Genomic DNA, 21779 nt, shown 5'->3' with positions numbered 1-21779 from the left:
CCTCAGCCTCCCAGGTAGCTGAGATTACAGGCGCCTACCACCACGCCCAGCTAATTTTTTTGTATTTTTAGTAGAGACAGGGTTTCACCATGTTGGCTAGGCTGGTCTCAAACTCCTGACCTCGTGATCCGCCCGCCTCAGCCTCCCAAAGTGCTGAAATTACAGGCGTGAGCCATGGCACCCGGCCTGGCACCGACTCTTAATAATAGCAACACGGCTGTCAGCCAACCAATGGTGGAGGAAACAGCAGGAGAAAAAGCAGAGCAGCTGGTCTTCCCACAGTGGTCAGTTTCCGCAGCTGTCAAGAGTAAAATAATCAGGAGTGACTGCTGGGTAGAGGCAGTGATGGTGGGAACCTCCACTTGAAGTCTCTTTGAGTACTGCAAAGGGCAGTGGTTGTAACTCTAGCAGGCATCAGAATCACCTGCAAGGCTTGTGAAAATAGATTGCTGGGCTCCAACCTCAATTTCCAATATCGAAGATCTAAAGTAGGGTCCCATAATTTGCATTTCAAGCAATCCCTCTGGTGAAATTGATGCTGCTGATCTGACACTTTGAGAAGCACTGCTTTGTGGGTATTTCTGGCTCTGTGCCATTCTCTCTCAACGCTCCATTCCCTCTTTCCTACTATCTACTGAGTCCCACCCATCTATTGCTTTATTTCTTCTCCACCATCCCTCTCTTAGTCTCTGTTAGGAAAACTAAAAGGACAGAAAACAGGAATGAACATTAGGGTAGATTTAAGAATTTCTTTGGGCAAGGATTCCAGCACTCTAGTCTGGTTGATAGGTGTTTTCAGAAGCAGAATTTATTCCAAATACATACATGCATCTTCTCCTCTCTACCTAACATGGAACAGTTTAATAAAAAGTAATAGATGCTTTCTCAGTAAGATTTTGCTTGGGGATTCAAAAAAATTGGGTAGGAAATGGTAGACATATTTCACTACATTAAAAAAATTTTCCGGCCGGGCGCAGTGGCTCACGCCTGTAATCCCAACACTTTGGGAGGCCAAGGCAGGGGGATCACGAGACCAGGAGATCGAGACTATCCTGGCTAACACAGATAAACCCCATCTCTACTAAAAACACAAAAATTAGCCGGGCGTGGCGGCGTGTGCCTGTAGTCCCAGCTGCTGGGGAGGCTGAGGCAGGAGAATGGCGTGAACCCAGGCGGCGGAGCTTGCAGTGAGCTGAGATTGTCCCACTGCCCTCCAGCCTGGGCAACAGAGCGAGACTCCATCTACAAAAAAAAAAAAAAAATTTACCAGCCAGGTATGGTGGCTCATGCCCATAATCCCAGCACTTTGGGAGGCCGAGGTGGGCGGATCACCTGAGGTCAGGAGTTCGAGACCAGCCTGGACAACATGGTGAAACCCCGTCTCTACTAAAAATACAAAAATTAGCTGGGCGTGGTGGCAGGTGCCTGTAGTCCCAGCTTCTGGGGAGGCTGAGGCAGGAGAATCACTTGAACCCAGGAGGCGGAGGTTGCAGTGAGCCTAGACTGCACCATTGCACTCCAGTCTGGGGGACAAGAGCGAGACTTCCTCTTAAAAAAAAGAAAAAAAAATTCCTTACTTCTCCTGGACTTTCAAAAAAGTTTTTATTGTAGTAAAACACAAAATTTACCATCGTGACCATTTAAGGGTATAGTTCAGTGGCATTAAGTACATTCAACTTTTTGAGCAACCGCCATCACCATTCATCATCCATCTCCGTTTTTTTGTTTTGAGATGGAGTCTCACTCTGTCGCCCAGGTTGGAGTGCAGTGGCATGATCTTGGCTCACTGCAACCTCTTCCTCCCCAGTTCAAGCAATTCTCCTGCCTCAGCCACCCAAGTATCTGGGATTACAGGCGTGCACCACCACGCCCGGCCAATTTTTTTTTGTATTTTTAGTAGAGATGGGGTTTCACCACATTGGCCAAGCTGGTCTCAAACTCCTGGCCTCAAGTGAGCCGCCCGCCTCAGCCTCCCAAAGTGTTGGGATAACAGGCGTGAGCCACCATGCCAGGCCATCGTCTCCTGAACTTTTTCATCTGCCCAAACTGAAACTCTGTACCCATTAAACAATAACTCCTCACTGCCCCCTCCTCCAGTCCCTGGCAAATACCATTCTACTCCTAGAGTACTTTCAGACTCAGTTTCTTCTTTCACTTAATAAAAGACAGGGTCCACTGCTGACTAATGGGATTGTTTCTATATTTGGAGGCCTTCTTGCAGACATGTGATTTGAGTTTATTGCAGAGAATGGTAATAGGAAATGGGATTGTACAAAGAAAAGAGATGGAGAGAAAACTGGATGAGGGTTTCGCACTGGGTGTCCCACCCACAGGCCTCAGCAGCCCTGCCACGGATCTGCCCGATTCTTTCGCATCAAGAAGTTGATCTTGCGAGCCATTTCCATGTTGTAGATCCGCCGGCACCTTTCATAGCTTTCCCTCTGTCGCCGGCAGCATGGCTTCTCATAATACCGCCGATGCTTAATGTCCTCAATGAGCCCATCCATAGTGAGGATTCTGTATAAAGGCAAGCAATGAGGTTAGACATTTGGGATCATCATTATTCTTTTCCAGTTTCATAAATAGAAGTCGATTGACCAAACAATTGGTATTTATAAAAAATACAGTGGGAAATGGTGGCAATAGAGCATTAACTGCCTACTTACAAAGGCCTCAATAAGAATCTGTGGGCCGGGTGCAGTGGCTCATGCCTGTAATCCCACCACCCTGGGAGCCCAAGGTGAGCAGATTGAGCCCAGGAGTTTGAGACCAGCCTAGGCAACATGGCAAAACCCTGTTTCTACAAAAAATAAAAATAATTAGCCAGGCTTCGTAATATGTGTCTGTAGTGCTAGCGACTCACGAGGCTGAGGTGGGAGCATCACTTGAGCCCAGGGGAGACTGAGGCTGCAGTGTGCTGTGTTTGCACCAGTGTACTCCAGCCTGGGTGACAGAATAAGACCCTGTCTCAAAAAAGAAAAAAAATATTGTTCAGCATGGGCAACACGGCAAAACCCCGTCTCTGCAAATAATACAAACATTAACCAGGCATGGTGGTACATGCCTGTAGTCCCCTCTACTCAGGAGGCTGAGGTGGGAGGATCAATTGAACCTGGGAGTTCATGGCTGCAGTGAGCTGAGATCCTACCACTGCATTCCAGCCTGGACAACAGAGTGACACCTTGACTCAAAGGAAAAAAAAAAAAAAAAAAAAAAGGACTGGGCACAGTGACTCATGCCTGTAATCCTAGCACTTCGGGAAGCCGAGGCAGGTGGATCACCTGAGGTCGGGAGTTCGAGACCAGCCTGACCAATATGGTGAAACCCCGTCTCTACTAAAAATACAAAAATTAGCTGGGCATGATGGCGGGCGCCTATAGTCCCTCCCAGCTACTCAGGAGGCAGGCAGGAGAAGTGTTTGAACCTAGGAGGTGGAGGTTGCAGTGAGCTGAGATTGCACCACTGCACTCCAGCCTGGGCAACAGAGTGAGACTCTTGTCTCAAAAAAAAAAAATTGGGGAAATAAAAAAGCAATTAATTACATGGCCCTTGCTCTTGGAGAGTTTATAGTCAAAGTTATGTTCTCAAATCTACTCTACCACAACACACCTGAGGGATATGATACAGTACCTGAAGAACATGTCTCCCTACAGCAATGATTCTCAACTAATGGGGCATTTCAGAGACCTCAACTGGGGAGAGCCATTTTCAGTAAGAACAGAATCACTAGGGGTGATTCTTAAGGTGATTCTCTTACTTAAAGTTCCATCCTGTCAGGCTGGTGGCTCACACCTGTAATTCCAGCACTGTGGGAGGCCGAGGTGGGCGGATCACCTGAGGTCAGGAGTTTGAGACCAGCCTGACCAACATGGAGAAACCCTGTCTCTACTAAAAATACAAAATTAGCCGGGCATGGTGGTGTATGCCTGTAATCCCAGCTACTCGGAAGGCTGAGGCAGGAGAATTGCTTGAACCCTGGGGGCGGAGATTGCAGTAAGCCAAGGTTGCGCCACTGCACTCCAGCCTGGGCAACAAGAGTGAAACTCCATCTCAAAAAGATCACTTGAGGTCAGGAGTTCAAGACCAGGCTGGCCAACATGGTGAAACCCCACCTCTACTAAAAATACAAAAATTAGCCAGGCGTAGTGGTGGGCACCTGTACTCAGTAGGCTGAGGCAGGAGAATCCCTTGAACTCGGGGTGGAGGCTGTAGTGAGCCGAGATGGTGCCACTGCACTCCAGCCTGGGCAACAGACTCTTGTCTCAAGGAAAAACAAAACAAAAACAAACTCACAGGAGGCATTAAACCTGAACTTGAGAACAAGAAAGTGGTTGTGAAGGGATCCTAAAGAACAACTCATCTGAAATGTGAATAAGTAGGTTGCCCTATTTCCACTCTCTTTTCCTACACCAATTATTGCCCTAAAACATAAATCAGATCATGTCACTCTGGTGCTAAAAAATCTTTCCTAATATACAGAGTGGCCTAAGCCACTAAAGTTCCCAGAATCATCTGCACATCAGAACTGCCCAGGGATCTTTTAAACATTCCGAACCCTGGGCCACACCCAGTCCAATTAAATCACAAAGGAGAGGGAAAGGGACATGAGCAGGTTTTTCAGTTTCCAAGGTGATTCCAATGTACAGACAGATTTTGGAACTACTAGTCTAAGCTCAAAGCCCAAACAATTGCCCCCTATATATATATCTTTTAATAACCTGCCCTACTGATCACTTGAGGTCAGGAGTTCGAGACAAGCCTGGCCAACATGGTGAAACCCCATCTCTACTAAAAATACAAAAATTAGCTGGGCATGGTGGTGCCCACCTGTAATCCCAGCTACTCGGGAAGCGGAGGCAGGAGAATAGCTTGAACCTGGGAGGTGGAGGTTGCAATGAGCCGAGATCAAGGCACTGCACTCCAGCTGGGCAAAAGATGGAGACTCCATCTCAAAAAACAAAAACAAAACACGTGCCCTATAATGCCTATGCTCTAGTCACACTTAAGTATATGCAGTTCTCCAAGCATCCTACATACTTGTTTTTTTCTTTGCTCATGATGTTCCCTTTACTTGGAATATCATTCTTTTCTTTTTCTTCCTGATGAAATCCTACTTGTTCCTCAAAGGCCCAAATCAATTGTTATCACATCTGTAAACTAGTTCAGGTGAAATCAAACTTTGGCATGCAGTAGTCATCTGGAAAGCTTGTTAAAACAGGGATTGCTGGCTGGCCATGGTGGCTCACACCTGTAATCCCAGGACTTTGGGAGGCCGAGCTGGGAGGATCACTTGAGCCCAGGAGTTTGACACTAGCCTGAGCAACATAGTGAGAACCCCATCTCCACAAAAAATAAAAATTAACCAGACATGGTGGCACACACACCTGCACTCCCAGCTACTTGGGAGGCTGACATGGGAGAATGGGAGAAATGCTTTATCCCAGGAGGTTGAGACTGCAGTGAGCCATGATTGTGGCACTGCACTCCAGCCTGGGCAAGCAAGACCCTATTTCTTTCTTTCTTTTGAGACGGAGTTGCGCACTTGTTGCCCAGGCTGGAGTGCAATGGCGCAATCTTGGCTCACTGCAACCTCCGCCTTCTGGGTTCAAGCGATTCTCCTGCCTCAGCTTCCCAAGTAGCCGGAATTACAAGCACCAGCTAATTTTTGTTATTTTTAGTAGACATAAGGTTTCGCCATGTTGGCAGGCTGGTCTCGAACTCCTGACCTCAGGTGATCCACCCGCCTCAGCCTCCCAAAGTGCTGGGATTACAGGCATGAGCCACCGCAACCGGCCTTTTTTTTTTTTTTGAGACAGAGTCTCGCTCTGTTGCCCAGGCAGGAGTTGCAGTGGCACGATCTCGGCTCACTGCAACCTCCGCCTCCCAGGTTCAAGAGATTCTCTTGCCTCAGGCTCCCGAGTAGCTGGGACTACAGACACGCACCACCACGCCCAGCTAATTTTTGTATTTTTAGTAGAGACGGAGTTTCACCATATTGGTCAGGCTGGTCTTGAACTTCTGACCTCATGATCTGCCTGCCTTGGCCTCCCAAAGTGCTGGGATTACAGGCATGAGCCACTGCGCTTGGCTGTGAAACCCTATTTCAAAGAACACCACAGATTGCTGTGCCACAGTTTCTGATTCTGTAGGCCTAGAGTAGGGGCCAAGAATTTGCATTTCTAACAATTCCCAGCTGATATTGCTGCTGATGGTCCAGGGACAACCAACACCATGGCACCATTTTTTTTTTTTTGTAGGCAGGGCCTCGCTCTGTTGCCCAGGCTGGAGTGCAGTGTCACCATCTTGGCTCACTGCAGCCTCAACCTCTCAGGTTCAAGCAATTCTCCCGCCTCAGCCTCCTGAGTAGCTGGGATTACAGGGGCGTACCACCACACCTGGATAATTTTTGCATTTTTAGTAGAGACAGGGTTTCACCATGTTGGCCAGGCTGGTCTCAAACTCCTGACCTCAGGTGATCCACCCACCTCGGCCTCCCAAAGTGCTGGGATTGCAGGCGTGAGCCACCACGCCCGGCTGATGTCTCTTTTATAGCACTGATCAAACAGTATTACATTGAACCCCTCATTGGGTTGTGTCTTTTCTAAGGTTAGAGATCAAATCTGTATTCACTTTTGCACCTAACAAAATACTTGGCAAAGAACAACTAGGAAATGTATGCCAAAAATGAGTCCTCTAGATGACTAATAAATGTCCATAGCACAAGGGATTAAGTGACCTTACAATATATACAGTTATTGGGGATATAGCTCAGAAAGCCTCAATAGTATTACCTTTACTACGATGGCATATTAGAGTTTAGATAGCATTTTTATATCCATCATCCTAACTACACTCCTATGAAATTGTTTAGGCAAATAATGTCCTCTTTTTATAGATGAGGAAACTGAAGTTCAGAGAGGCTGACCCGCCCAAGATCACAAAATGGAACTATAAACAGAATTCAGGTCTTTAGTAAAGTGCTCTACAACAGTATTCTGCTTCTCAAACAAAAACCACCCATTTCAGAAGACAAACTGTTGCAGTATCCATGGGTAAAAGAGGGAGTGAAGAGCTGGGCTAGACTCTTCAATCAGAGTAAAGAGGAAATGGAAGCCGATAAGGGACACTTGGATAAAAGAATGATCTAAACATGTAAACATTTATTTCTGCTGAGACTTTGTGTTTAATACTGTCTAATGAAGGTTGCTTTTTGGACTAGAAAGTAGTATATTGGAGAAAATATAGAAAAAAGCCCCTGAAAGAAAAAGATTGGATATATAATGTAAAAAGTACAAGGAGACTGGATTTGAGAGAATATAAAAACGACAGAGACCCTGAGTAAATATGACCTAGGAAGACGAACCTATTGGAATGACAAAGACAGTTTAAAAGTAGGATGAAACAACACTGCAAGAGGAGGAAGGGGTTGAGTATGACTCAAGGAACCCTACTGGAGTTCCAAAAGGCTTCTAAAACAAAGGTGATCATCTTACCAAGGAAATGCCTGTACTGTCAGGCAAAAGGGCAAGACAAGGAAAAAGAATAACAAAAGAACATAAGAATGGTGAAGGGAAAAGAAAGAATATAATGATGGGGGTTGGTAAATGGCATTCCCTGGATGTACTACTTACTTCCAAAACACAGACCAAATAAATTCCAAGATGCCAGGTGAGGATTCCCTCCCTTACCCGACACGTTCTAGTCATACTAAAAAAGGCACAGATTATCTTCAAATGCCCCAGAGTCCCTATAGTAGAGGTATCTACTCAACTTTACCTCTAACAGAAAAGGATGCAAGAAAAGCTTTGTAAAACACAAGAATAGAGGGGGTGTTACTAATGATGCTTCCTTCTGCTTCCAAAAGTAGTTCAAGGACTAGTACATCAAGAGCTTTAGAGTAAACAGATCAGCCTGGAGTTCGGGCGCCTGGCAACCTAATACTGAAGGAGAAACCAGCTGCCAGTTTTAGTGAAATTCAAATGATTATGTAAAAGGAGCCAAGCTGCCTGGAGCGGGGGGAGGTGCGGGTGGCAGACTCACATGTCAGTGTAGCCAGTCTACGTCAGGACAGACGTGTATGCAGAAGGACTCAATGGACCCAGAAGGTAGCCCACTAGGAGTAAAAGGAGTCAACAGGGCATGCTTCCAGTGTACTCACCTTTCTTTGCTTGGGGGCCAGCCAATCATGCAGGGCTTCCTAGCAACCCCCACTCTCCACCTTCTCATCCCGGGGCACCAATGAGGGCCCCCAGTTATATAACAGGCATTTTGTGGTGGCCTCACTGGACAGACACGTAGGCTATTTCCTTTGTAAGACTCTCTCTGTACTCCAAACATGGTAAAGCTTTAATCACCTCCCTCTAGACTCATTTGCTCTCCTACCTATTGTTGTAATTAGACCACAGAACAAGCAAATTATTTTTAAACTACCAGCTATGAGAAAGCTGAAAGAGATCAGGAGAGGCCTGGAGTGTGAGAAAGATATACAGAAAAAGTGGCTAGAGAGAGGACATTTGGGAAAAGCAGAGAAAAAGAAGAAACAGAAAAGTGCATCAGTCAGAAAATGTGTTTAACAGGCAGCAGGAAAACAGAAGATTGGATCACTCCAAAATCAGTCTGCTCACGTATGCAAGCTTGAAAGTCCTTACCTAGAAAATTATTCTAAGAGGCCGGGCACGGTGGCTCACCCCTGTAATCCCAGCGCTTTGGGAGGCCGGGCGGGCCAATCATGAGGTCAGGAGTTTGAGACCAGCCTGGCCAACATCGTGAAACCCCGTCTCTACTACAAAAAATTAGCCGGACGTGGTGGCAGGTGCCTGTAATCCCAGCTACTCGGGAGGCTGAGGCAGGAGAATCACTTGAACCCGGGAGACAGAGGTTGCAGTGAGGCGAGACCACGCAGTCTGGGCAACAGAGAGAGACTCCGTATTAAAAAAAAAAGAAAGGAAAAAGAAAATTATTCTAAGACTGAAATATTTGTTCATTTCCCCCCTGCCCCGCGAAGCTATAATACAATTTATGGGACTCTGAGTCTATGGGACTTGAATTTCTTTTCCTTTTTTGAGACGAAGTCTCGCTCTCGTCCCCCAGGCTGGAGTGCAATGAATGGCGCGATCTCGGCTCACTGGAACCTCCGCCTCCTGGGTTCAAGCGATTCTCCTGCCTCAGCCTCCTGAGTAGCTGGGATTACAGGCACCTGCCACCATGTCCGGCTAATTTTTTTTCTTTTGAGACGAAGTCTCGCTCTCGTCCCCCAGGTTGGAGTGCAATGGCGCCATCTTGGCTCACTGCAAGCTCCGCCTCCCGGGTTCACGTCATTCTCCTGCCTCAGCCTCCCGAGTAGCTGGGACTATAGGCGCCCGCCACGGCGCCCAGCTAATTTTTTGTATTTTTAGTAGAGACGGGGTTTCACTGTGTTAGCCAGGATGGTCTCGATCTCCTGACCTCGTGATCCGCCCCCCTCAGCCTCCCAAAGTGCTGGGATTACAGGCATGAGCCACCGCGCCCGGCCAATTTTTGTATTTTTTTTAGTAGAGACAGGGTTTCATCATGTTGGCCAGGCTGGTCTTGAACTCCTGACCTCAGATGATCCACCCGCCTCGGCCTCCCAAAGTGCTGAGCTTACAGGGGTGAGCCACCGCGCCTGGCCAAATTTATTTTTCTAACCACTCCTCTTCTTTCTTAAAAAGAAAAGAATATAATTCTTTTCTTTTTAAGCAATGTAAATTGCTTTTTTCCAAATCCTACTCCTACTTTGGTGTTTTAATCCCTGAAGAAAAGGTAATACTGTGCTTCTTAACCAGGGTAATTAACAGAATGCCAAAGGATACAAGTTTCTGGACAAATTTGATGCATCTGCCTGGAGGCACCAATTTTAACTCGAAGGAGTGGGGGTGTTACCCATAAAACAGATGCAATGGCAACGAATACGAAGTTCACCTTACATTTTAATTTAGGGAAGCTTCAAAGAAATTCCATGTTTGCTTATAGTAGCAGAACCCCTATAGTTCATTCACTCTCCTCTGCTGTTAACGACACTTCAGTAAAAAAGTTTGACAAACATTAAATAAGTGACAAAAAAGATAAAGGAACATTTATGTTCATTAAGTAGACATTTAATGAGAGCTTTGGATGTGCCAGACACTTTGGTAAATCCAAGAGATACACAAATGAAAAAGCATAGGTTTCTGTCCTTAAGGAGGCTACAAGCCTTTTTTTTTTTGAGACAGGGTCTCACTTTGTCACCCAGGCTGGAGTGCAGTGGCGCGATCTCGGCTCACTGCAACCTCCAGCTCCCAGGTTCAAGCGATTCTCCTGCCTCAGCCTCCCGAATAGCTGGGATTACAGGTATGCACCATCATACCCGGCTAATTTTTATATTTTTAGTAGAGACGGGGTTTTACCATGTTGGCCAGGCTGGTCTTGAACTCCTAACCTCAAATGATCCGCCCCCCTCAGCCTCCCAAAGTGCTGGGATTACAGGCATGAGTCACTGTGCCCAGCCAGGAGGCTACAAGTCTATTATAATAATTTTCAATCCTGGTGAAATCTCATGGTATGTTTTTTAAAATGCTGCCATCCAGGTTGCAACCCCTGGAGATTCTGATTCATCTCAGATTGGGCCCTGGCATTAGTTTTGTTTTCTTGATGGTTCGTTCCCTAGGTGATCCTAATAGGCAGCCAGGGTTGAAACCACAGGGTGTCACACTGACCACTCTCCGGCTCTCTAATATTAACACTTCGACCCAGGAAATAGGTTTGTGTAAAATGCCAGTCACCAACAAAAAGAGAACCATAAAAGTAGTATGTGGGCTGGGTGTGGTGGCTCACACCTGTAATCCCAGCACTTTGGGAGACAGAGGCGGGTGGATCACCTGAGGTCAGGAGTTCGAGACCAGCCTGGCCAACATGGTGAAACCCCGTCTCTACTAAAAATACCAAAACTAGCCAGGCGTGGTGGCAAGTGCCTGTAATCCCAGCTACACGGGGGGCTGAGGCAGGAGAATCACTTGAACCTGGGAGGCGGAGGTTGCAGTGAGCCGAGATCATGCCACTGCACTCCAGCTTGGGGGACAAGAGCGAGACATCGTCTCAAACAAACAAACAAACAAACAAACAAAAAACAGAAAAAAAAACAGGAAAAGCAAAAACTGAGTGTTGATTAAATTAAAAATATAGTGGCTGGACAAGGATTTTTAAAAGAGGCAGATAAAAAGGGGTATAGACAATCTTAGACAAAGAAATAAGAGTCTTCTCTCAAAAGATAAGAGCTGGCCTTATATTTTCTGCAAACCTGGTATCAGTGAAGAGGATCAGGAAGGAGATTAGAAATATTTTGTTTCTCAGATTCTGTTTCAAATTTTAGGTGTAAATGGGGATGCATTCCATATATGATATGGGGCATCACTGCAGTCTCTGCCTCCCAGGTTCAAGCGGCTCTTCTGCCTCAGCCTACGGAGTAGCTGGGATTACAGACCTGTGCCACCATGCATGGCTAATTTTTGTATTTTTAGTAAAGACGGGGTTTCGCCATGTTGGCCAGGCTAGTCTCGAACTCCTGGCCTCAAGTGATCCACCATTCTTAGCCTCCCAAATTGCTGAGAATACAAGACTGAGGCACTGCACCCAGCCGCTACTCTCTTGATACAACTGTAAGAAGTGGTTCAGCTGGGCATGGTGGCTCACGCCTGTAATCCCAGCACTTTGGGAGGCTGAGGTGGGCAGATCACGAGGTCAGGAGATCGAGACCATTCTGGCTAACATGGTGAAACCCCGTCTCTACTAAAAATACAAAAAATTAGCCGGGGTAGTGGCATGCGCCTGTAGTCCCAGCTACTCGGGAGGCTGAGGCAGGAGAATCGCTTGAACTCGGGAGGCGGAGGTCACAGTGAGCAGAGATTGCGCCACTGCGCTCCAGCCTGGGCGACAGAGGGAGACTCCGTCTCAAAAAAAAAGTGGTTCAATAAATAATACTGTACCACAAATTTTGTTGTTTTTTGTCAAAGTAGCTAATTTTCTAAAAACAAAATTCTTGCTTTTGTGTTATCTATACTTTAGGAATAAGGGAACTAAAACTGAGCCTGTTGGAAATTTGTTTTACCATTAAGCAACAGCTATCCTTTGATCTTTCAATAACAAACATCTCAACAACCATGGCCAGAAGACCTATCTAAATCTACCAAAATAAATCATACAGAAGAAGATTTACAGGGAGAAGTCAGAAAAAAAGAGTGAAGTTACACGTAATACATGCCTTTTCCCAAATTCAACATTCATCTCCCTAGCTAACTCACTGCAGGGTCTGGATGTTACCTATAAAGACGTTCATTTTAGGCCAGGTGCAGTGGCTCAAGCCTGTAATCCCAGCACTTTGGGAGGCCAAGGCGGGTGGATCATGTGAGGTTGGGAGTTAGAGACCAGCCTGACTAACCTGGAGAAACCCCATCTCTAGTAAAAATACAAAATTAGCTGGGCTTGGTGGCGCATGCCTGTAATCCCAGCTACTCAGGAGGCTGAGGCAGGAGAAACGCTTGAACATGGGCGGCAGAGGTTGCGGTGAGCCGAGATGGCACCATTGCACTCCAGCTTGGGCAATAAGAGTGAAACTCTGTCTCAAAAAAAAAAAAGTTCATTTTGTACTTCCAAGATAGCAAAGTAGGGCCAGAGAAAGGTCATTAGACATAATATACTTCTCAGACATGCCACCAGAAGGTATGAAATAGGAGAGTTAGAAATGAGGAGAAACAGAGAAAAATGAAACAGGATACCTTACAACCTGGTACTTATCTTTACTCTCAGCATAGGTGACAATGTAGAGGGAACAGCTTCAGCCCAAGGATATAATTGTTATGCACATAGAATTAAGTGATGTGGCTGACCCCAGACCAGATTTTTTTTTTTGAGTCTTACTCTGTGGCCCAGACTGGAATGCAGTGGCACGATTCTGGCTCACTGCAGCCTCTATTTCCCAGGTTCAAGTGATTCTCCTGCCTCAGCCTCCCAAGTAGCTGAGATTACAGGCGCCTGCCACCACATATGGCTAATTTTGTATTTTTAGTAGAGACAGGGTTTCGCTATGTTGGCCAGGCTGGTATTGAACTCCTGACCTCAGGTGATCCACCCGCCTGAACCTCCCAAAGTGCTGGGATTACAGGCATGAGCCACCACGCCTGACCCTAAGACCAGATCCTTTTAAAAGACATAGAAACCATTCTGAGCCTGCAACTGCTTCTCATTTACACAGCTTCTGACAGCATTTTTTCTTTTTTTTTTTGTAGACAGAGTCTCGCTCTGTTGCCCAGGCTGGAGTGTAGTGGCACGCTCTCGGCTCACTGCAACCTCCTCCTCCCGGGTTCAAGCGATTCTCCTGTCTCAGCCTCCTCAGTAGCTGGGACTACAGGTGTGTGCCACCACGCCCGGCTAATCTTTTGTATTTTTAGTAGAGACGGGGTTTCACCGTGTTAGCCAGGATGGTCTCGATGTCCTGACCTCGTGATCCGCCCGCCTTGGCCTCCCAAAGTGCTGGGATTACAGGCGTGAGCCACCGCGCCCGGCTGACAGCATTTTTTTCCTCACTGTGGTCTTCTGCCATCCAGCCTTCCACACCTAGAACTCTCTGCTTTGCTAAGAACTAGGTTCCCTTTCCTTTGCCCTCTCAGTCCTCAAGAACCCTACCAATATTTAAACCCAATCAGATGAGGATTCTGGTTTTTTTTTTAAAGCGACACCTGCTGAAATGACAAGACAAGGATTCTAAATTGGAAAATGAACCACCATAAGTCTTTCCATTTCTAGTAAGACTAGTAATAATTATTAAAGAACATTGCACTAAAAAGATGTGCTTTAGGCTCCTCTCCACCATTCAATAACTGCATAACCCAATAAAGATAATCTGATCTTCCAAGGCTTCCCTTACTTGTGAAATAAAGCTACCACATTAAAGGCCTTAATGCAGCCCATGCAATATCTTTCCTACATTTTTTTTAAGAGACATGGTCTCACTATGCTTCCTAGGTTAGAGTGGAGTGGTTATTCACAGGCACAACAAGAGTGCACTCACACTACAGTCTTGAACTCCTGGGTTCAAGCAATCCTCTTGCCTCAGCCTCTGGAGCAGCTAGCACTACAGGAGCCCCTTCCTTACAATTCTTTGATAATTCAACTCAACAAGCGTTTGTTTCTCCAAATGTTACTTCACATTGGGGAAAGAAAATGACGCGTGAGTCATACCAGAAAGTCAAAATCCACACAACTGGTGAGAAGGGAAGGTTAAGAACTTTTTGCTTGAGAATTCAGTGGTAAAGTACTACTAGGGCTGGGCCGGATGCAGTGGCTCATGCCTGTAATCCCAGCACTTTGGGAGGCCAAGGCGGGTGGATCACGAGGTCAAGAGATTGAGACCATCTTGGCTAACGTGGTGAAACCCTCTCTACTAAAAATACAAAAATCAGCCAGGCGTGGTGGTGGGCACCTGTAGTCCCAGCTACTCAGGAGACTGAGGCAGAAGAGTCAATTGAACCCAGGAGGCGGAGGCTGCAGTGAGCCGAGACTGCACCACTGCGCTCCAGCCTGGCAACAGAGCAAGACTCCGTTTTAAAAAAAAAAAAAAAAAAGTATTACTAGGGCTCTTCTACATCTCTTAGCCTGGCATTCAAAAATTTTCAATGAAGCTATAAAGCTCCTCCACCCCAGCTAGTTTGTTTCCATTTATGTATTTTTCCTTATGCTGTATCTTTCCTGAAAACTTGTAAGCTTTCCCATCTTTCTTTTTTTCCCTTTCTTCTTAATATTTTTAGAAATGGGGTCTTGCTATGTTTACCAGATTGGTCTTGAACTCTTGGCAACAAGCAATCCTCCCCACTAGGCTTCCCAAAGTGCTAGGATTACAGGTGTGAGTCATCCCACCCAGTGAGCTTTCCCATCTTTTGCCTGCTTCTCTAGGATGCCAATCTGAATTCACCTTTTCCTTTAGCTTTGTCCCACACCAATCACTCCCTCAGCTTTCTATTTATCATACTACGTTCCCGCTTCCTAGCAACTTCACATCTTGATTTTCCATTTGGGCTCTTTTTTAAGTCTTCTAAAGAATTCAGGTTCCTCATAAAAGGAGTCATTACGCTTGGGCAACATGGCGAGACTCCCTCTGTACAGAAAATACAAAAATTAACTGCGGTGGTGGCGTGCGTCACTAGACCCAGCTAGTCAGGAGACTGAGGCAGGAGGATTGTTGAGTGACACAGCAAGACCCTGTCTCAATTTTTAAAAAGCGGGGCCGGGCGCTGTGGCTTACGCCTGTAATCCTAGCACTTTGGGAGGCAGAGGCAGGCAGATCACTTGAGGTCAGGAGATCAAGACCATCCTGGCCAACACGGTGAAACCCCATCTCTACTATAAATACAAAAATTAACCGGGCGTGGTGGCGGGAGCCTGTAGTACTGGCTGCTCAGGAGGCTGAGGCAGGAGAATGGCGTGAACCCAGGAAGCGGAGCTTGCAGTGAGCCGAGATCGTGCCGCTGCACTCCAGCCTGGGTGACAGAGCGAGACTCTGCCTCAAAAAAAAAAAAAAAAATTAAAATTAAAATTAAAAGCGGGGAGGTGCGGGGGGTGATTACTTGTTGAATACAATTCATACAGTTAGGTTTGAGGAAGAACTTTTTTTCTTTTTTTTTGAGATAGAGTCTCACTCTTGCCCAGGCTGGAGTGCAAGTGGCTCGATCTTGGCTCACTACAACCTCTGCCTCCCGGGTTCAAGCGATTCTCCTGCCTCAGCTCTCGAGTAGCTGAGATTACAGGCGTTTGCCACCACGCCCGGCTAATTTTTGTATTTTTAGTAGAGACACGGTTTCACCATGTTGGCCAGGCTGGTCTGAAACTCCTGACCGCATGTGATCCACCCGCCTCGGCCTCCCAAAGTGCTGGGATTACAGGCGTGAGCCACCGCGCCCGGCCCAGAACTTCATTTTTAAGATAATAAACTGAGGGGCTGAGACGTTTTAAGAGACTGTGAACACCTGGGCTGGCACTGTTTTGAGAACAATCAACGAAAGGGGAAGGGAGAGAATAACCACCGCACTTCCCAGAGAGTCTAGGCATGATTCTGGTCCCTTAACAGTTACCTGTTTAGGGTCCTGTATGCGCTTTCCACGTTCCCTTCCTGTACCATCACAGTCCTGGCGATGAACTTCAGATGTTTTGCCATGACCTTGGATTTAAACCTTCACTCTGTAGAGCCTAAAGGATGATGGAGAAAGGGCGAGGAAAGCAGAAAGAGAAACGCAACATAATACAAACTACACCGCGCGGCTTATTTAGGATTTGGAAATTCAACATGCTCAGGGACGCGCGAGATGGAGCACATGGAAGTCATCCTAGAAAGTAGACGTGAATCGTTGTCTCTTATTCTCACTGCCAGTCCAAATCCTCGCATAGAGAAGAAAAGAGATGGCAGCAGGGCGTTACCACAAAGACGCGTCGCCGGGCATGAGAAGGACACGAGCGACAAGGATGCGCCACAGGGTCCCAACCACCACACATAGTTCCAAAAGGGGTTGAGTTGGGAGTTGGGGAAGGACTCTTTGTTGGTCTTTGGAAAAGGGGGCGAAAGCCCGCAAACCTGCCCTCTCGCCAAGCCAGCCTTCCTTTCCCCAAACCCTGCACAACTCCTCACCTCGCGCGCTCAGTACCTAGCCCACCGGAAGGGTTCTCACTACCGGAAGCGGAAATTACGGAATCGCCAGCGCCGCGCAAAGAAACAGGCCGAGGGAGACAACGTGCGTGGAAACCATAGCAACGTCCTTTCTGGCCTCTGTTGACTGCCTCTCTTCCCCGGGCCTGGACTCTACACCTGACAAAGCAAAATACTCATTGACTTAAATTCCCCCGAAACACGTTTCTCGCCCTCTCATGGAGTCGAAGTCCTTCGGCCTCTGAGAAGGTCAGCCCAATTTCATACCCCTTAATCCTGTGAAATCCTTGATAAATATTTGAGCCATTTCTCTTTCTCGATGGAAAACAAGAGAAGTAGGCGCTTCCTGAGGATGCTTCCTGTTTTCTCTTTGGAAAGGACAGACTCTTTGAGATCTGCTCTCCGGACGAAAAATAGATTGATTCATACACGTCATCTGCCTAAGTGCTAAGGAAAAGAAATAAACATACTGTGAGTTTCCTATATCATCTTCCCACTAATTTAACTACATAAAGTGAAATCAATAAAGATATATGGGAAACACCTGCAGGGTTTAGAATAAAAAATTATGTCAGCTTCTATGCCTTTTCGTGCTAATGAGACCTACTGAAAAACCTCCTTTTAAATTTCTTCTTCGCTGTGGAGACACCCGTCCTCCTATTTGTATGCTACCTGTACATATCCATTTATGGTTATTCACGTAAGTTAACATCTAATGGCTGTAGGAAAACGTACCTCCCTTAGAGAGAGAGTGCGCGCGCACGCTCACGCACACACACACACACACAGACACAGACACAGACGTGTGCATCATCAGTTGATGCTAATAACTTACACTAACACTTAAGCCCACCTCAGAGTAAGCCAGGTCCAAAGTAACGAAATAGAACTAGATTGGGACATTATTATGCTTGTCAACAAACTTTCACTGAATGACTACTCTGTGTCAGATACTGTTGATACCACTCTAGTGCCTCCTGGACCACTAGGACCACATAAAAGATACTAAAACAAAGTAGTATATAATAAATGCAAAATAAATTATATGGGCTGGACGCGGTGGCTCACACCTGTAATCCCAGCACTTTGGGAGGCCAAGGCAGGCGGATCACTTGAGCCCAGAAGTTCGAGACCAGCCTGGGCAACAAAGCAAAACTCCGTCTTTACAAAAAATATAGAAATTAGCCGGGTGTAGTGGCATGGCCTGTTGTCCTAGCTACTTGGGAGGCTGAGGGGGAGGATCACCTGAGCCTGGAAGGTCAAGGCTGCAGCGAGCTTTGATCACACCACTGCACCCTGGCCTGGGCAATAGAGTGAGACCCTGTCTCAAAAAATTAAAAATGAATAAATAAATAAATAGGGCCAGGCGCGGTGGCGCACGCCTGTAATCCCAGCACTTTGGGAGGCTGAGGCGGGTAGATCACCTGAGGTCAGGAGTTTGAGACCAGCCTGGCCAACATGGTGAAACCCTGTCTCTACTAAAAATACAAAATTAGCCAGGCGTGGTGCCACATGCCTGTAATCCCAGCTGCTTGGGAGGCTGAGGCAGGAGAATCACATGAACCTGGGAGGCGGAGGTGGCAGTGAGCCGAGATCGCACCATTGCACTCCAGCCTGGGCAACAAGAGTGAAACTCCATTTCAAAAAATAAATAAACAAACAAATAATAAATAAAATATGCCACAGCATAATGTGGTGAAAGGCACTGGCTTCAAAGTTGGGAGATCTGGATTCTATCCCAATTCTAATACTCATCAGGCCTATGACCTTGAAGAAGTCATTTAAAACCAGGGGTCTGGAGACTACAGTTTACAGGTCAAATCCTGCTCCACCTGTTTTTGTAAATAAGGCTGTTGACCTACAGTCATGCTTATTTGACTGTGTGTTATGTATGGCTGCTTTGGGCTACGATGGCCGAATTGGGTAGTTGCAATAGAGACATAAAGCCTACAAAGCCTAAAATATTTACTATCTGGCCCTTGCCAGACTCACTCTATTTCCTCATCTCTAAAATGGGACTAATTTTGCCCTGTTCAGTCTCACGAAATTTGTCATGGGAATCAAATAGAATAAAATATGAAGATATGCCGGGCACGGTGGCTCACGCCTGTAATCCCAGCACTTTGGGAGGCTGAGGCGGGTGGATCACGAGGTCAGGAGATCGAGACCATCCTGGCTAACACAGTGAAACCCCGTCTCTACTAAAAATACAAAAGATCAGCTGGGCGTGGCGGCGCTCGCCTGTAGTCTCAGCTACTTGGGAGGCTGAGGCAAGAGAATCACTTGAACCCTGGAGGTGGAGGTTGCAGTGAGCTGAGATGGTGCCACTGCACTCCAGCCTGGGTGACAGAGCGAGACTCTGTCTCCAAAAAAAAAAAAAAAAAAAAGAGAAAAAAAATATGAAGATACTTTGAAAGAAAGGAAGGGAGACAGGAACTGATGTTAATAAGTTCTGTTAACCACTACCATTGGATCAGCTGGAGAGTAACATTTTTGAGAGCCTACTATATACTAAACCCTGTACTAGGTGGGTGTTTTTTATTTTTGTTTTTGTTTTTCTGAAACAGAGTCTCACTCTTGTTGCCCAGGCTAGAATGCAGTGGCACCATCATAGCTCACTGTAGCCTGGACCTCCTGAGCTCAGGTGATCCTTCCACCTCAGCCTCCCGAGTAGCTGGGATTACAGGGACATGCCACTACGCCTAGCTAATTTTTTGTATTTTTAGTAGAGACTAATTTTTTGTATTTTTAATAGTTTCACTATGTTGTCCAGGCTGGTCTCCCAAAGTGCTAGGATTACAAGTGTGAGCCACCCCACCAGGCCCCAAACCCTGCACTAGGTATTTTATGTACATGATTCCATTTAATGGAGTAAACGGCCAAACACTGAGTGTATAGATCATGTTTAACAGAAAGAATGATAGGATGGACTTGAGTTAGTCGTTGAAAGAGGGCAGGGTTTAGATAACAGAAGCAGGAAAGGTTTGGCAAGGTGAACAGCATGAACAAGAGCTTAGGGGCAAAAAGGTGTAGTGTTCAGGAGTCAAAACAAAACAAAACAAAAACCTGCAACAGAGAGATCATGCAGGGGAGCACAGGGAAAAATAGAGACTGTGACTAAAGATTTTGGACTTTCTTCTCAAAGCATTCGAGAGCCATTGAAGAATTTGAATAGGATATGATATGCAAAGCACTGTTCTAGGAAAATTAACTTGGTTATCAGCGAAAAGGGATTAGAAGAGAGACTACTGGTACAGTGAAGTCTAGACCAGACTGGTGGCAATGGAATGGATAGGAAGAAATGGATTTTAAGAGATATTCCAAATAAAGAATAAAAAGGATCTGGTGACCAGATGGCACCAAATTTTAAGCCTAGTTATCCAGGAAAAAACAAAACAAAACAAAAAACTATGGTACTTAGTGATACCACAGATAGCACTAACAGAAGAGGAGACTGTAAAAAGTGGTAGCTGGCTGGCACAGTGGCTCACGCCTGTAATCCCAGCAGGCGTGGGATTGGGAGGCCGAAGTGGGTGGATCATGAGGTCAGGAGTTCAAGATCAGCCTGGCCAACATGGTGAAAGCCCATCTCTACTAAAAATACAAAAAATAGCTGGATGTGGTAGTGGGTGCCTGTAATCCCAGCTACTCAGGAGGCTGAGGCAGAATCATTTGAACTTAGGAGGCGGAGGTTGCAGTGAGCCGGGATCGCACCATTGTACTCCAGCCTGGGTGACATGTGAGACTCTGTCTCAAAAAAAAAGAAAAAAAGTGGTAGCAGGACATGTTTTCAGGAAAGAATAATTTGATTGGTGATTACTGGAAAACACATCAGACTGGAAACCGAGTTCTGTCCACATATTGTGTTGTCCTAGATAAGTCTCCTAAGTTTCGTTTCTTTTTTTTTTTTTTGAGACGGAGTTTCACTCTTGTTGCCCAGGCCAGAGTGCAATGGCTTAATCTTGGATCACCGCAACCTCCGCCTCCCAGGTTCAAGGGATTCTCCTGCCTCAGCCTCCAGAGTAGCTGGGATTAAAGGCATGCACCACCATGCCCAGCTTAATTTTTTTTTTTTGTATTTTTAGTACAGATGGGGTTTCTCCATGTTGGTCAGGCTGGTCTTGAACTCCCGACCTCAGGTGGTCCACCTGCCTTGGCCTCCCAAAGTGCTGGGATTATAGGTGTGAGCCACTGCACCTGGCCCTAAGTTTCTTTATGTATCAAATGAGGAGGTTGGGTTGAACTGGATATACAAGAGGCATTTTTTTTTTTTTTGAGAGGGAGTCTTACTCTGTCACCCAGGCTGGTGTGCAGTGGCGCATCTCAGCTCACTGCAACCTCCGCCTCCCGCGTTCAAGCAATTCTGGTGCATCAGCCTCCTGAGTAGCTGGGACTACAGGTGTGCACCACCACGCCCAGCTAATTTTTGTATTTTTAATAGAGACAGGGTTTCCCTATGTTGGCCACGCTGGTCTTGAACTCCTGACCTCCAGGGATCTGCCTGCCTCTGGTGTGGGATTACAGGCGTGAGCCACAGCGCCCGGCCAAGAGGCTTATGTTGGCTCTAAAACACTGAAAGTTTCAATAATGTTTAAGTACCAGCAATATGTAAATAAAACTGTCCAACAGAAATTTAAACAGTATGCCATCCCAGGGGAAAGATTGGGACTAGAGATAAAGCTGTAGCAGTCTTCTAAGTTGAAGCAATAATTAAAGCCATGAAAGGATATAGTCAGAGAAAAGGGCCAAGGCCTGAGTCTAGGGGAACACCCACACTTTGGAGTAGGTTGAAGTGGGGCCCTTAAGAGACCTAGACATTGCTGCCAGATAGGTAAGAGGAGGATTAGGGTAGTGTGCTGTCATGGGATCTGAGGGCGGAGAGTTTCAGTAGGCAGCATCGAGTGTCAAATGATACAGAGAGCATAATGTACGTAGCCTTTGTAAAGGGTATAGCTGTTGATTAGGTGGAAGCTAGATTATAATACTGGTTCTGTGGGCTCATTAGTGACCTCGGAAGGTGCAACAAGGTGAAAGCAGCAGAAGCTAGGCTGCAAGGGGTTAAGGACTGAGTGGCAGAAAGGAATCAGAAAGAGTA

At 46.3% G+C, this 21779-nt stretch overlaps 1 protein-coding gene and 1 long non-coding RNA gene across 3 annotated transcripts, besides 2 other annotated features; one reads left to right on the top strand and one right to left on the bottom strand.

Moving 5' to 3' along the window:
* Positions 1-1585: 1585 nt before the first annotated feature.
* Positions 1586-16704, bottom strand: MRPS21 (mitochondrial ribosomal protein S21). 2 transcript variants are annotated; one of them, NM_031901.6, is made up of 3 exons: positions 16667-16704; positions 16116-16230; positions 1586-2517 (listed from the first exon to the last, which is right to left on the bottom strand). In NM_031901.6, the coding sequence occupies exons 2-3, from the start codon at positions 16196-16198 to the stop codon at positions 2337-2339; spliced, it is 264 nt and encodes an 87-aa protein (NP_114107.2). In that variant the 5' UTR covers positions 16199-16230; positions 16667-16704; the 3' UTR covers positions 1586-2336. The 2 variants fall into 2 exon arrangements, with proteins under 2 accessions (NP_114107.2, NP_061870.2); NM_018997.4 differs by having other exon boundaries at positions 16116-16704.
* Positions 12966-13523: an enhancer, noted in NCBI's record as "H3K4me1 hESC enhancer chr1:150269465-150270023 (GRCh37/hg19 assembly coordinates)". NCBI's record gives its function as "activates a minimal SCP1, AML or CMV promoter by ChIP-STARR-seq in naive H9 embryonic stem cells {active_cell/tissue: H9 hESC(naive)}" and the evidence as "EXISTENCE:reporter gene assay evidence [ECO:0000049][PMID:30033119]".
* Positions 16357-16416: an enhancer, noted in NCBI's record as "active region_1681". NCBI's record gives its function as "activates an Ori minimal core promoter by ATAC-STARR-seq in GM12878 lymphoblastoid cells {active_cell/tissue: GM12878}" and the evidence as "EXISTENCE:reporter gene assay evidence [ECO:0000049][PMID:35858748]".
* A 40-nt stretch (positions 16705-16744) lies between the features above and the next one.
* LOC105371434 (uncharacterized) lies at positions 16745-17265 on the top strand. Its single transcript, XR_922129.4, has 2 exons — positions 16745-16933; positions 17068-17265. It is a non-coding gene; the product is annotated as an uncharacterized LOC105371434 (long non-coding RNA).
* The last annotated feature ends 4514 nt before the right edge of the window (positions 17266-21779 follow it).

Source organism: Homo sapiens, chromosome 1 (genome assembly GCF_000001405.40).
Source record: "Homo sapiens chromosome 1, GRCh38.p14 Primary Assembly".
Classification (NCBI taxonomy): domain Eukaryota; kingdom Metazoa; phylum Chordata; class Mammalia; order Primates; family Hominidae; genus Homo; species Homo sapiens.
This window is presented reverse-complemented; position numbering and strand designations above follow the sequence as displayed.